We start from the raw sequence: 16,223 nt of genomic DNA, 5'->3' as shown, positions 1-16,223 counted from the left end.
TCCTGGGATTTCTGGGAGTCCCAATTTCTCTTTCAGTCCTTTTACATGGACAATGGCCTCTGAATCAAGTAGCAGGGTTATGTGGAAGGTTTAGGAAGTGAGTCTTTTATTGCTGCTGTGTCACCTGAAGAAGGAGGGTTAAAATGGAGAGAGCACTGAAAGATTCAAGACCACTTTGCAGTAACAACAACCAATAAAAGAGCTGTATCTCATTTCAGGTTGCAATTTCTCTTAACCCAGGAGACCATCAGTAAGCACAGAATTAGATTTCATAGACTACCCTTTAATGAGAGCCCATAGCTATCATGTCAATAAGTGCCTGGGTTCAGAATGTTTTCAGTCCTCTGAATGTTATTTGGGAGAGTGAAATAAACGTTTGTGGATGTTTAAAAGTACTAGGCTAAATATTTGCATAATGGCATCTTTCAGTAGGGACAACAGGATGCCATCAGAGTTTATGGGGATTAAGAAAGTTTTCAGAAATTCAGGTTTCAAAGACATGCATGTCTCTCTGATGATTTCATGTTGGGATTTAGGATTTTTATATATTAAAATAAAAACAAATCTATAATTGACTGAGAGCTTTTCCTTGAACCCATTTATATATAATATAATTAGCTATTCAATAAGTATAAAATTGTCCAACTTTTAAAAGGAATTTCATAGTTCATTGAGTTCAATCCCTTGATTCTGCATAAGACAAAATTAAAAACAGAAACATTATGTGACTTACCCAAACTCAGATTGAGTGAGTAACCCAGTTAGAATTAGATCTTTGGTATCTTCAGAATCCATTTTCGAATTTTGTCTTAAAATGCATCTTTGGTGCTGTTTGATTATATTTCTTCTGAGAATTATAGTGAACCCCTTGAGTCCTGCCTGGCTTCCTCCTGGGTGAGGCTCTTTCTCCTCTAGCTTCCCAGAGGAGGGCGGGAGAACTGAGTTCCCAAGCCTGCACCTGTCAATGTGAGGATGGATCTTCAAAGGGGATTTCTCTGGTGTAGATGTACTCTTAGTATAATCCCTTTCTATGCACTGCTGTTGGGAATGCCTCACCACACTCTGCCTTCTGTTAATGCTTTCCCTTGCTTGTCACCTTTTCTGCCAAGAGAACCCACTGGTATGCCTGAGTGTTATTAGGCCAACTTTGCCTGACAGCTGTTTAACTGAATCTGCTGACCTTGCAGATCTTTGCAAGAACCAAAAAATTCAACCTCTGAGGTGTGAGGCCATCAAATCTTTAAAAAGTGAACTCTTTCTGCAATTTAATGGTAATTCTTTTTGTCACAAATGATTCATTAATGTATAGTAATGCACACTGGTGTTGACTAAACTCCCATGGAAGATGTAATCTGTGAAAAACAAAAAACAGTAGCCACATGCAGTATAACCATATGCAATTAAGTAACTGTCAGTTTGTCTGAACTAAGGCTGTATCCATCTATTCTTGCACTGTTATAAGGAAATACCTGGGACTGGGTAATTTATAAAGAAAAGAGGTTTAATTGGCTTGCACTTCCAAAGGCTGCAACAGGAAGCATGATGCTGGCATCTGCTCAGCTTTTGGGGAGGCCTCAGGAAAACCTACAATCATGGTGGAAGGCAAAGGGGAAGAAGGCACCTCATGGCCAGAGCAGGAGGAAGAGAGAGGGGTGAGGTGCTACCCCACATCTCATGAGCACTCACTCACTATCATGAGAGCAGCAGCAAGGGGGAAATCCACCCTCGTGATCGAGTCACCTCCCACCAGGCCTCACCTCCAACATTGAGGATTACAAATCAACATGAGATTTGGGTGGCAACACAGATCCAAACCATATCAAAGGCTAACCTGAAAGAGAACAGTTCATTTGGTGACACTTGTATGACTCTCAGTGGGTACCAGGAGAAGGAGAGGTGGATCTAAATAGCCTGAGGAATAAATTATTTCACAGTTCAAATTTGTTTGCTTTTTCCCCCAAAACAAACAAATCTTTCTGGTGGTTCTGATTCACCCCCCTTCCTGGGACCCATAGCAGAGAACAATTGTAGATCAGATAATTACCAAGTATATCTGGATATCAGGATTACGTGAGGAGCTTTTAAATAATGTCAGTCTTGGATCCCATAGAATGCCTACTAAGTCATAATCTCCTGAAAAGAGTACCAGAAGTCTGGATTTACGGGAACCTGTGCCAGGGTAATTCTGACGCAGCTATTTGTGGATCAGTATTTGGGAACTCCAGACAGAGAATATTTAAGGTGCTTTCTCTCTTAGATTTAGAATCAGGCCTTGCCCATCACCCATCATCCTGCCCTCCTCCATCAAGCCATTGCTAATTAATTTAATAATTTTCTAGACTATTGATATAGCAGCTTAGAGTAGCATTGGCTAAGAGTAACACAAAAATCCAAAACCACAATAACTTAAACAAAGACAGATATCTGATTCTCTTACACATAACGAAGTCTAGAAGGCAATCTCTCTAGAGTGCCATGTTTCAGAGACCCAGGCTCCTTCTACCTTATTGCTCTACCATTCCTGAGTGCACCAGAAAGCAATAGCTTCTGTCTCATGGTCCAAGATGACACTGTCTCCACCCATTGCATCAGTCTTTCAGCCAGCAGGAAGGGGGAAGGGGAGAAGGAATCTTCCAGGCCATCAAACACAACCTTTTGTTTACAATCCATTAGCTAAATAGACTAAAGCTGAATATGACCACGTGTAGCTGCAAGGCAGACTGGAGCATGTCACCTGGATTTGGGTGGTCCCATGCCCAGTTAAACAGGGGACAAAGGTAGAAAGAATGATGAAGAACAAACAGCTGTTGCTGTTGCAGGTGGTCAATTCATTTCACATTTGTGGATCTGTTTTCTCTCCTCAAAAATTAATGGCTTTACACTGGATTACCTCCCGTATGCTCTGATATTATTTGATTCCATTTTTCCATTTTATTTAGGATCAGTCTAATAAAATTACCTATAAATGTCAGGCAGGCTCCTTTGCTCAGAAATAATGCTCTTTCTTGATTATTTGTAATGCCTGAAATATTACTGTAAGAAAGTTATTTTAGCCATAAAGAATGCTAAATTTCAGATGTCCCAAGAATAAGTGTAGTAATCTAAGCAGCTAGTAACAGAGTAATTTGAGTAAATTTGTCCAACTTTCTAAATAAAACCTTGTGGAGCAATATTTCTAAAGACCAAAGACAATAGGCAAGATGTGCATGTGTGTATATCTCTACCCAGCCTCTTTCCAAAAAGAAACAAGAAGTTCCTGAGGTACATTGAGAGGTGGGCATGAAGGCAGATGCCCAGTATGGGGTCTTGGGTACCAAAGTGAAAGGAAATGTCAACAAAGAAAGAAAGGCAAAAACTGCCCTGGAAAAGCCCCACCACTTTCTATGTGGAAAGCTTGGTCTATGGGGAGACAATGAAACATGGGACCATATAAGGCATGGGGATTTTGGGGGTGCTTGTAAGACAGCCACAGGACCCTTGTGACCTCTAGCCTTAGGATCGTCTCCCTTATCCTATTCTGGTCTCATCTAAAAATTGACTCCATTTGAAATTTTTCTCTTTGACACCAAAGTGGTCCTGTCTGTTGGGTTTAGGGGTTCAAACTGTCAGATAATTTTATTTCCAGGATTTAAAAGATTTTGGAAATACAGAAAAGCCAATCCAACTTTGAGATCCTGCTCCAACTTTTGTAATGTACAATCTCTGACTGATCAGAGCATACTGACTGATCAGAGCATATAATATACAATCTATGACTTATCAGAGCATACCTCCTTTGTTTTCTGGTTTCCAGCAAACTCCATGGTTTGATCTTTAAGAAGAGCAGAGTCTCCTGTGGGTTTGCAATCTTCAGTCCAGAATTTGGCCATGGGGGTAGAGACGGCCTGGAATCACACAAGTTATTGATTGGCTTATGCCTCACCTTCTGTGCTTGCATAAAGCCAGGTGTAAGAACTGCAGGGCTGGCTACTGGGAAATGACAGGGTGTGCCTGTCTTTCAAATGAGTGCCCATCTGGGTGAGCAGACTGTTTTCAACAGCTTGATAGCAGCATCACAATTTTTCCATCTATATTACATTCGGCAGAGAAGAGTTGTATATATAAAACAAAAACCAAAATCCTACAGATTCTTATTTTCTCTATCTCCCAGATTAACTCAGAAATCTTTTTGCCCAAACTTAAATAAAGCCATGTTTAATAATCATATAGTGCTTGTGTCACTGTGGAGGCCATGAATGACTCACAGAACACTTCCAGGGTAGAGAAATTTGCTTCTGGGAGAACCGATCAATTGTTGCCCTTGAGGTGCACCTTTCAGTAAAGATCTATCCAGTTCTTTATAATGCCAGGATTTGCTCCATTTCTCTGGTATGCTCAGTTGAAGTAAATTCATAAATAAGAAATAGTATTTGATTAAATATGTCCAAAACACAGCAAAAATACATGGGTCATTTTGTCTTTCTCAAATGAGAAGGTTGCAGTGGAAACCTTTCAGACAAGAGCAGAAATGACTTCTTAGTAGCACCTAAGGGTTCATTCCCCAAACAACCATCCAGCAGTTTATATAAAACACTTAACACAGTTCCTGGCATATTAAAAAAAAATGCTTGATGGATTTCAACTAACAACAACAAAGTAACAGCAGCAATATAATAAACGAAACCTGTCTAGCTGGAGAGGCCAACGAGAGAGGGAAAAATACAAGTGTGAGTGTACTTCCTCACACAAAGTCTTCTGTGGTCTCATCCACTGCCTATGGGTTATTATGCAAACTCCTTGGCATGGCCCCAGCTTCCTTCTGTAGCTTCACCTCTTACCTGTCCAGTCTACTTCATTCCCCTACATTCTGACTACTCAGGATTTTACACCCTTCCCTGCACACCCTTTACTCTGACATACGTTGAGACCTTCACAGCTTATTCTGCCTGGATAGCTTTTACCCTCTTCTCCTACTTATCTTACCTGACCCAGCTCAAATGTTGCCTCTTCTGTGAGTTCTTCCCAGTCCCCTTAGGCAAAGTTAGTCACTCCCAGTCTATACTTCCATAGTAATTTGGTTGTACCTTAAATGTGTCATGGTTGTATCTCAATTATGTCGTGTTGCAATTTGCAGGTTAATGTCTTTTTCTCCTCCCTATACCTCTCAGCTTCCAGGGGAAATAAATATTATCAAATCCATCTGAATTCATCTGTGGCCATAAGACTGAATGAGTACTTGAGAATACTGGTAATTAAGAATTTGAGGGTTGATTTCTCACTTGAACTTTGATTCCATCAAGTCTGTCTACTTATTCTAGATGACATAATTATAACTTAAGAGAGAGGAGGAGGAAATATTAGTGTGGAGAGGGCTGTATACTTCTGAGCTTATACAATCTATCTCTGATATCTAGCAGGTGAAAGATGAGAATAAAGTTGACAGGGGAATATGGAGTCATTATACAACAAACATGTGATGAGCCAAGGCCATCCATAATGGCTGCTAGGAGGTGACATAAATGAAAGATGATACTGAGTAGATTATAAAGAGATTTTCATATACGAGGCCTCAGCAGGCTGCAAATTGGTTGAAGTACAGCTCCAAGAAGGAGCACTCACCACTGTAGACTGAGCAGTGATCACCACCAAGGAACTCTCTGTGCAAGAATCCATTACATGAATGGATTTGCTTACGATGAGGGCAAAAGTAACACGGTGACTAAGAGGGTGTGCTTAGAGTCAGCCTGCCTTGATTTCAGTCCTGACTCAGCCACTCACCAGCTATGGGCAACTTACATCACCTCTCTTGACTCAGTTTCCTCATCTGTAAAATGGGAATATTATTCACCTCTTAGGTTTGTTGTGAGGATTTAATGAGTTAACCCATGTGGAACAGTATTTAGCAAATAGTAAACATTTGATAAATGCCAGCACTTTATTACTTTACTCAGCATTGTCCAAGTCTTTCTCATTGCACTTATTTGTATACAGGCTAAAACTTGACCCTAACAGACTGAAATTAGGGAGGTGAAAACTAGGGAAATGGCTTACCTTGCCTCTGCTTCTCCAAGGAAAGCAGCTGAATGGGTAGGCATATGTGGGACCAGTCAAAATCAGGAGACAGAATTGGAATGAGGCACCGTAGACAACCACATGTACATTAAAGGTGGAAAGCATAGCTGGCTACACAATTTTTCTTTTTTAGGAAATAACTGGTGTATGTAAATTTTTATTCCTCGGGGTGGAATGTATATCTGTTTTACATTTGTATCGCAGACCACCATTCGTGGGAGAAATAAGGATAACAAAAATAATAAACCTCATTTTGTAAACCTTCATAATTTAAAATAGGCCTTGTTTTCTTGGGCCACTGGAAGTACATTGCTTTCCATAAAGGGTAGGTGGTCCCCACCTCCCCAGCTATATAAACAGCTCAAATAAGTTTGCAGCAATTTTTTAAAAACTCTTAAACTAAATATGAAGTGGTTTAAGTTAAACCCAAACTAGGTTGATGTTTCTCGTCCACAGAGGACCAAAATAGAATGTTTGTTTCCACTTTAGAGGGTTTTACTTTTTCATTATTTCCTTCCCTAATTAGACTCTCTTAGCCACGCAAGTGGTCTCTGCTCACTTGTTAGGTATTATCGTTATTATAGCCCTCTTTCCTAACATGGGTCAACTTGGAAAAGAGAACACTTTAGGAATGGCATTGATTTTTTTTTTTTTTTTGGGAGGCCAACTTGAATTCATGTATCTTTCCATCTATTTAAGCCTCAAATAAGTGAACTGAAACAAATTTTAGTTTAATAGTCATCTTTACTTTACTTTAGGGTCTGGTCTTATTGGAAAGCACATACCAGTATGTAGCATGCACTTCATTACCATGCCCCTCCTCTGTGCCAGACCTACAAGGCAGTAGACCTAGTGGTAGAAACAGAGACAAGATGCTTTAAAATTTTTTTTACAAATGATCTCATAGCACGTGGAAGGATGCTATGGCCACTTGTTTTTCCTTCACTACAGACCAATAGCCCGCATCTGTGAAGAATCAAATAGCATGCCCCTGAGTGCAGCCACTGCCATCGTGTGTGTTAAATCCTGTGCCCTCTGCCTTGTTTTTCTAACTAGCTGGAATATGCTGGCCAAGCACCAGGGCGTGTTCATTACATCCTCTCTGGGCTCAGAGTCATGGACACTTTTCAAGTAAAGAAGTGACACACATCTTGCCCAGGTTGCATTTCTGTGACATCCGGCAGGCCTACAAAAACACTTTCAGGAGGAAAAGGAAAAGAATGACAAAGGCAGCTGAGAGCCACATTACTGTCCTCATCCTGGCTGTTGAATAACATCCTGAGAAATGGGAGCTGGGTGGATGATTTACACCTTTAAATTACAAATCAAGACTAAAAAAAATCTGGGGTCCGTTCTACAAGAGGAAGGACCTGTGACTTAAAAGCACAATTTCCCCAGGGATGATAAACTTAGTTAAAACATTGGTAGGTTCAATGACTTTGGGGATACATTTTCTTAAACCTTGGTTGGTGCCAGTGGCTGCTACTTAATATTATAAAACTGTCATGAATTGGGGAAGGATTTTTTTCCAAAATGAAAATAGCTTTTATTTTTGTTTGTATTGTTAAAAAGGGTACATGTTAACTGTAAATAATATTAGTAATAAACCTCTTACAAAGTATAAGGAAAACAAAGGCAAACTTTGAGTACATACAAAATATACTTTCAAATAAGAGTATTGATGTTGCATATCCTCTCTCCCTCAGTGATATAGGGTGGAGCTGCTGATTCTTTCTAACTGTAAGACCCAGTACTGGTGATGGGGACACAGAGGAGAGAAAGACATGGTCCCTGCCCTAGAGGATCTCACAACTGGGGATGAGGAAGATGTAAAGACAGATAATTGGAATTTAATTTGGTACTTGCTGTTACTGAATTTTGAACTGGACCAGGAAGGAAGAAACTAACCCCATGTGGGGGAGTTTTAGGAGAGCATTATAAGTTTGGCTTGTAAGATGATAGGGTTATGTCAGGGGAATAGGAAGAAGGTATCCATGGGGAAGTCACCGCATTCAGTGGCAGTCAGCCAGGAAAAGGCTGTGAGTCTTCTAGAAACCATGAAGCATTTCAAGTGCTTGGAGCATAGGATGAATAATGGAGGGGAGGGGGAGAGATGCGGCTGGACAGTGGGCTGGGGTCAGATTATGAAAATTCCATATTGATTAGCAGATAGTTCCTGTTTTCTTCCTTCTCTCAGCTGATTCTAGGAACAGTACTTTATTTCCCTTCATAGTGCGGATAAGTAAATGTAATCCTATGTACCTTAGCGTTCCCAAGAAACTAAAGAGCTGGCGAAAGGACAAACAGTTCCCAAAATACTTGCAAATGTAGAGTAGTAAATAATGGTTACAAAAGTTACATGTTGCAAAAATTTTCAACAATGTCTTGTAATTATTAACTGTAATTTGGGCCAACTGACCAAATCCACAGAAGACCTGCAGTTCCCTGTGAGCTGGGACAGTTTGGCAAGTCCCATAACATGGCTGCACATAGAAGGAGTGTCTGCAAGACCAGGATCAAACTCCAGAAATCGGCAGCCTGGTCCCCGCAGACTTGATCTTCCTCCTTCCAGAGGAGGACGATCTGACTTTCCTACACTGGTGTCTGTGAGGGAAGTAGGTGCCTGCCTCAAGAAAGACAGGAAGCCACCACTTAGTAAGTGCCCTTTCTAGCCATGAGCCTAACAAGTGAACAAATCTCAGATTCACCAGAAAGGACAACTGGGCATTGGCAGCAGGTGAGTTGAAGAGGACGAAGCAGTTGCTAATTCCAGCTCAACTCCTGCTGCTCTTTTAAGATGATAGCAGGTCCTTGCCCTGCCTGTAGCCCTCAGACTGAAATCACTTGACTTCCAACTATTTCCAACAGCCAGTATTTGCATTTCTTTGCCTATGGCTTCCCCAACTTCACAAGCCATTCTGCTAAGACACATGGCGTATGCATGTGAGGAATGAATGCTGTCCCATGGCATCCTACAACCAGTGATGGGAGTTGGTGTTTTGTAAACTTCCAAAACTCCTTTACCCCTCAAATGAAATAAACTCTCCCTAGAATTTCCCAGGCTACTTTTTGAGCTGTTTCCCTTCTCTTTCTCACTCTTCTGTTCCCCTATTGGTTTCCTGAAGTTTTCAAATAAATGATTTGCACTTAAATCATCTCAGGGTCTGTCTGTTTCTGGAAACCCCAATCCAAGACAAAGACATTTCTAGGACTTTCCCAAGCCATTGCAATCTGCCCTGCTGTGAATATTTGAGAACATACATCTATAACACAGAGTTTAGCATCTGATGGTTTTCTGGTTGCATTTGCTTTTCATTTATTTAGTGCATGAATACACACACTCCCAACCCACCATAAGCACTCTGAAGGAAGGAACCATACCTTATACCTCCTCGTGGCCCTGGCATAACCCCCCCTCAAGTAATTAGCTCATAGCAGGTGGCTCACAGGTACTTGCCAACTAACTGTTCCATAGAGACTGAAACTTGGCTGACCATCAGTGTCTTGTACTAGTAGATGGCATCTGATGACATGGCAGGTTGTGTTTGAGGAGGTCAGGAAAACTAGAGACATTGGGTTCCAGTCAACAGTTATGGATACTGGTTTTTCAGGATCTGTCGGTCTCCATCCCATGTGGTCCCCAAAGTGTCCGGACCAGCAGCATTGAGTGTTACTCAGAAACTTAAATCAGAATCCATAATTGAACAAGATGCCCAGGTGGTGTGTATGCACATGAAAGTGTAAGTAGTACTGCTCCTGAGGATCCAGGCCCTACAGGATTTATCTGCTATAGAACCTGAGGGAGTCTAGACATGCCCGCATATATACTACCTGCTTGATGCATATATGTTTCCAGACACACACACAGCTATACCCAATTTTCTTTGCAAGACCCACTTGTTTTTATGTAAATAATCAGTAACCTTTAACAGTCATAATCTTTGACAATGTCAGTATATACATGAAGTCAGGAAATATCATGCATTACCTACAATACAGTTTATGAATATTTATCACACACCTGCTGTATGCAAGGCACTGTATGCAAGTGCAAAGTTAAATAAAATCCAATCCCTCTGCTATAAAAAGGGGCTTTTTTATTCACTTAGAAATGATACTTTACTCACTCGAGCCCAGGAGTTCAAGGCAGTGAGCTATGATTGTGCCACTATATTCCAGTATCACAATAAAATAAAAGAAAAAAAAGATCCTTTAATAGGCAAAAATTGTGATGCATTGACACTTTTGTGTAATATTCTTAGAATTCCTCACTCCATCCCCACTCCTGTATAAAGGGAGAGGGTGTTCCTAAATAATGGTTTACACGGAATATCACAGGTGGGTATGTACAAGTCTTTTCTATTGCTTAAGTTCTTGTTTTTATTTTTTAATGTTATTTGATTTTTTTTTGTAGCTCAAGTAGGATCTGAAAGCATTCCCAGAACTCCCTATAGGATTTGACACAGAGGTATTATCACTATGATGTAAAATCGTGTAACAATTGTACTCTCAAAATATATGAGGAGAGTAATTGGAAGTAGATGAATTTTGTTGCAAAGCCATGACTAACTATACTGTCTTGAAATTATATTTACATTTCAGCCTTCTTCATTATTTATCAAAAAAGTAAAGCCTGAATTTATTTTGTAGTGAGTAGGGCTTAGGAACTTGGTACTGGTTTACATGAACAGAGCTGAAGCCCTCTAAGAAAATATGCATCTAACAGTTGGCTTAGCAACAATACACTATCACACTAAAATGTTCACAGGTATAGATCATAATATTAACCAGATGGTTGCTGTCATCTACGTGTATTCATGTAGATAACATGTAAGAAATTACACTGAGAGGGTATCTTGACATCAGTTTATTTCTTGCTAAGTAATAAAGTAAATGAATAATTATTTATTGCTTTTTAAGATTAATAAATATGAGATAAATAGAAAATAAATGTTTCCATAACTGTTGATGAGTAAATGAAAGTGGTCTGGGTAATGTTTCCCAACCTTCAGTGCAGTATAGATCCTATAAAGGTCTAAACATCTAACAATTCACTCAGAAAAGTAGAAAATAAACCTTTCTAACCATCTTGCTTCATTGAAATCTCTATTTACTATGTGTGGTTGATTTTTTAAATCTCTGGATTAGACTAAACTCCTACTCCTGTCTACATTCTCTCCAGCTCTTCCTTCTGCTGCCTTCTGCTTTAAGAGGGCAAACTTCCTTCCGCTTTAGGCAGCATTCTCCCACAATAAGGGCTCCTATCTCATTCAAATCTTCCTTTCTTCATCCAGAAGAGTTTCCAGAGCCCACCTTCTCCATGACAGCTACACATTTCTAAAGCACTGTTTGTCTACCAACTCCTCCTTCTTGGCTAGTAAATACAAAATAAAGCTAGGGGGTAAGAGAGTGATAGAGGGGCAACAGCAAAAGTTACAAATGTTCCCTGAAGGAAACAATTCTACCTTCCCTCATCTTATGAAGTGAGAATAACCTCAAAGGCAAGATGCATGGATTTGAGCATCCCATACAATGTACATAATAGGCACTATAGATACAGTGAAGTGACTCTTCTGTTCTTCTATTGAAAAATGGCAAGATTAAACCATTGTTAAGATCTCAACATAACCCTATCTAAAAGTCCTAAACTGTTTTACTCTATTTCCACCATTTACATAAAGGGGAGCTACAAATGAGTGGAAACAAATTTGGAAACTGATGGTTTTCTCCAGGCAAGCATATTTCGGACTTTTTCTTCTGCAGACATCCTAACTAGGGGTATCTTCACAACCCCATTCTATTAACTGAAATTTGCTTCCATTCATTTATTCACTTGTTCATTCTCTGCTTACTTCTAGAAAGCAGTTAAGGCAGTTCACAAGGAATCACAGTTGCTGCGAAACCAAAAAAAAAAAAAATTAAGGAAAAATCCTTGAACTAAAATAGGGAGTGTTAGAAGGTTTGGTGGGTAAGGTACCAGAGAAATTATTACTACATCAAACTTTCCCTAGCTAAGGAAATCACCAATCCAAGGCAAGGTTTACACTTTTGCAAAATGCATTTTTCCATTTTATTCTTCTCTATAAGTAATGAAATATACCCAAATCTTTCTGTCTAACCTGTATTTTGGGTGTTACATCTCAACTACCATGAATAAAACATCCTGGCTATTTGTTTTGAAAATAAGTAGGTGCAAAGAAAAATAGGCACCTTGCATCTAATTATCTAATGAGTAAATTATGTCATGTAATGAGTAAATTATGGAAAGTTCAATTGTAGCTGATGTATAGTTCAACTGAGTTAAATCTTACCATATTGTTCCTTTTTCTAATGAGCTAAAAGCATATACTTTTTTCCTGGCAAAAAGTTCAAATACAATCAGCCTTTCTCTTTTTATTTCTATTTTCTTTCTTTTTGGACCCATAATAGGCATCATTCTTCAAAATGATTTCCATGATTGGGCCAGAAGGCCTGTGGTTACTTTTCTCTTTCACTCGGAGATTGCACCTCATTTACTAAACAGATATTGTGTAATTAAAGATGGGCTGTTTCTTTGAGTTCTCTAGAAATTTTTCAATTCTAAAGTCCCCAGTGGTCTTTCAAAAAGTTTGTTTAATTGAAGCAAAAGAAATAGTGGGGCCATTGTTCAGGATTATCAGTGAGAGGTCATTTACATGAGGGGACTATGGCATGGTGGGAGAAGAAAATGTGGCTAAGTATAATTCATTCTGGGTCCCTTGAGCCCACACAAAAGATTTAACTTTAAGAGGCTAAGTTCCCAAGCCCCTAGTTTTTAGAGAGTAAATCCAAACTATAGAACCTCTAAATCTTTTATCAATTCATAAAATAATACTATGTTTGAAGCTAAAATTAGATAGACTTCCATAAGCTTTAAGATTCTGTAATTATTTGGGGTCAGTGCAACAAAAAAAATGCTGGAAAATAAACTCTTAGCACAAATGGAGGGGGATTTGGGTTTTTAAACACATACATGGCCACATTGAATGCCATTTAGGGAAAAATAATTTGAAATTGAAAAAAACTTATTTGACAGCAGACCATGTCAAGTTTTCTGCCCTTTAAAAAATTCAAACTAAAGACCATAATTTATTGTCTCAAATAGCATAGCATAAAGTTAAGCTACCTCTCATATCCTCTGATTTCTATTTTAAATCCTAAGTCAATTTCATTCAAACATCTTTTTGGGAAAGATATACTAAGTTCCACACTTAACTTTAGCCATAATTGTTTCATAATTAAAAAATTATACCTTGCTTTTTTTCTCAAGGGTGGGGTTTACTTTAGCATTCTGTGCCAAATGCATAGACCTGAACTAAATCCAACTTATCCTTAATTTTTAACATGTTACAAAATTTAAGATTCATATAAAACAAAGAATACATCTGTTTTCATCAGCTATTTCTCAACTTTTATTACTGGGATTTATTTTAAAAAATTGTTTTGCCCAGACAGCTTTGTTTTACTAAGCGTGATTTATTACTCTCCCATGAGCCCACAAAAAGTGCGTGTTCCTGAATCAAAAATAATGAAGAATGGAAACTTATTCCTTTTACAATTGACAAAATGATCATTTAAAATATGTAAATATGTTTAAATTCTAATAGGGTTTTTATAATCAATGGGTAGAAAAATATATTCAATTACCCCAAGCTGATATACAGAAAAATTGAGACACAATCAAAAAATAAAAGAAAGAATTGAAGAAAGTGACTTTTGTAATGCTATTCTAAAAATCGGCTCAAAGTTGGAGAATTATCTACCTAAGAGAGAGATTAACAAGGTTTTTATTTATTTATTTTCTGCTTTGTTCCACAAAAAAAAATATTTCAGGCAGCTTGCCTCTTGATGTTCTGTTAAAAGATTATTGACTCTTAGCTTTTGAATATGATTAACATTTGATGTCTACTTTCTTGGCAAGAATTTTACATGTATTTTATGCTAATATTTTAAGGCTAAAATAGCATTTTCTTGTCTGCGTGGCATACTTTTTAAAGAATGAAATTTTTTAATTGTAAAAATATCTTGGAATTTAAAGATTACTAGATAGCTTGACCTTTACTGGCTTCCGTACTTCAATAACAGCAAATTTTTGAAGAATTGAAGACTGCAATATTTTTACTTCAGAAACAGGAAAAGACTGAAAAAGACTGAGGAATAATTACAAATAGAAAATGATATAGATATCTAGATATCTAAAATAATGAGCTAAATTTGGGTTCAGGTCACAAAGAAAAGTTTAAGTTGTATAGTGTTTTGATGTAATCACGTAACTGCTTTTAAAGGAGAAATTGGCTTTCTTGGTGAAATGTTGAAGATATTTCAATTCTAGGTAAAGTTTTTTGCAAGTTACCAAAACACTGGCTCACATTTGCTTATATTGAGTTGGTTTTGGGGTCTTGGACATTTCTAGAACTTCCCAACCATTATCAATTCTCAATATAAATTAACTGGGAAAAATTAAAGGGCTATATAGCTTCTAAAATTGCTTGTTTTCATTTTTGTGATAATTCAAATCTTTCTGCATTCATGTTTAAGATTTTTGATACTCAAGTAATAATAACTAATGTTGATTTAACATTTCTGTATGCCAGGCATTTTTTAACTCACTTTTTTTTAACTCACTGAAGTCTCACAATCTATGATGGTCAGTATTAGGTGTCAACTTGACTGGATTGAGGGATGCCTAGATGGCTGGTAAAGTATTGTTTTGGGGTGTGCTGGCCCATTTGTTGAGTGACCTGAAAGGCATCTAGTTTTGAGTGGGGCCCAGACCAGAAGTCTCTGCAACAGGTCTAAACTACTGTGCAAGCTGCTGTACCTCTGGGGCCATATGACTCAGCAGATCTAGTGGTGCGTGAGGTATCAGTGGCAAATAGGGATGCTGTCGGGAGCCTTTGGGAGGTCCTCATAGGTGAATCATAGTTGAGCCCGCCCTTTAGGATTCTAGAGCAAGGCTCTATCATCTTCTGCAGATAACTCCTTTTTTTTTTTTTCTTTGAGACAGAGTCTCACTCTGTTGCCAGGCTGGAATGCAGTGGCGTGATCTTGGCTCACTGCAACCTCCACCTCCCAGGTTCAAACAATTCTTCTGCCTCAGCCCCCTAAGTAGCTGAGACTACAGTTGCGCACCACCATGCCCAGCTAATTTTTGTATTTTTAGTAGAGATGGTGTTTCACCATATTGGCCAGGATAGTCTCGATCTCCTGACCTCGTGATCCACACGCCTCGGCCTCCCAAAGTGCTGGGATTACAGGCTTGAGCCACCGCTCCTGGTCGACAACTCCTTTTGAGAGACAGCTTTGGCCTGCTACTGGGCCTTGGTAGAAACTGAATATTTGACTACAGATCACCAAATTTGTATGTGACCTGAACTGGCTATCATGAACTGGGTGCTTTCTGACCCATCAAGACAAAATTGGGTGTGCACTGCAGTATTCCATCATCAAAGAGAAGTGGTATGTACGTGATCAGGGTTGAGCAGGTTGTGAGAACACAAATAAGTTACATGAAGAAGTAGCTTAAATGCCCATGGTCTCCACTCCTGCTACCCTGCCTTCTGTCTCCCAGCCTGTACCTATGGCCTTATGGGGAGTTTCCTGTGATTGGTTGACAGAGGAAGAGACGAGGGCATGGTTTACAAATGGCTCTGCATGATATGTGGCACCAACCAAAAGTAGACAGCTGCAGCACTATAGGACCTCTCTGGGACATGCCTGAAGGACAGTGGTAAAGGAAAATCTTCCCAGTGGGGAGAACTTCAAGCAATGCATGTGGTTGTGCGCTCTGCTTAGAAGAAGATGTAGCCAGACATGCAGGTATATACATGGGCTGTAGCCAATGGTTTGGCTGGATGATCAGGGACTTGGAAGGAATATGATTAGAAAATTGATGACACAGAACAATAGACAAGCAGAGAGCCAAATCATGAATGAAGTCCCATTCACAATTGCTACAAAGAGAATAAAATACCTAGGAATACAGTTAACAAGGGAAGTGAAGGCCCTCTTCAAAGAGAACTACAAACCACTGTTCAAGGAAATCAGAGAGGACACAAACAAATGAAAAAACATACCATACTCATTGATAGGAAGAATCAATATCGTGAAAATGGCCATACTGCCTATAGATTCAATGCTATTCCCACTAAACT

At 39.0% G+C, this 16,223-nt stretch overlaps 1 protein-coding gene across 18 annotated transcripts in view; it reads left to right on the top strand.

Annotated features, from left to right (window-relative positions):
* VEPH1 (ventricular zone expressed PH domain containing 1) overlaps positions 1-16,223 on the top strand; it is a 243,864-nt gene that overhangs the window by 89,904 nt on the left and 137,737 nt on the right. For 2 of the 18 annotated variants that reach the window (XM_047448929.1, XM_047448930.1), the window contains one exon: positions 7,758-9,203. The exons of the other annotated variants lie outside the window; for them this stretch is intronic. In XM_047448929.1, coding sequence (XP_047304885.1) covers positions 7,758-7,760 — 3 coding nt within the window. In that variant the 3' untranslated portion in view covers positions 7,761-9,203. Of the gene's footprint in view, positions 1-7,757; positions 9,204-16,223 lie in introns of those variants that run through there. 18 annotated transcript variants of the gene reach the window in all.

This window comes from Homo sapiens, chromosome 3, assembly GCF_000001405.40.
Source record: "Homo sapiens chromosome 3, GRCh38.p14 Primary Assembly".
NCBI lineage: Eukaryota > Metazoa > Chordata > Mammalia > Primates > Hominidae > Homo > Homo sapiens.
This window is presented reverse-complemented; position numbering and strand designations above follow the sequence as displayed.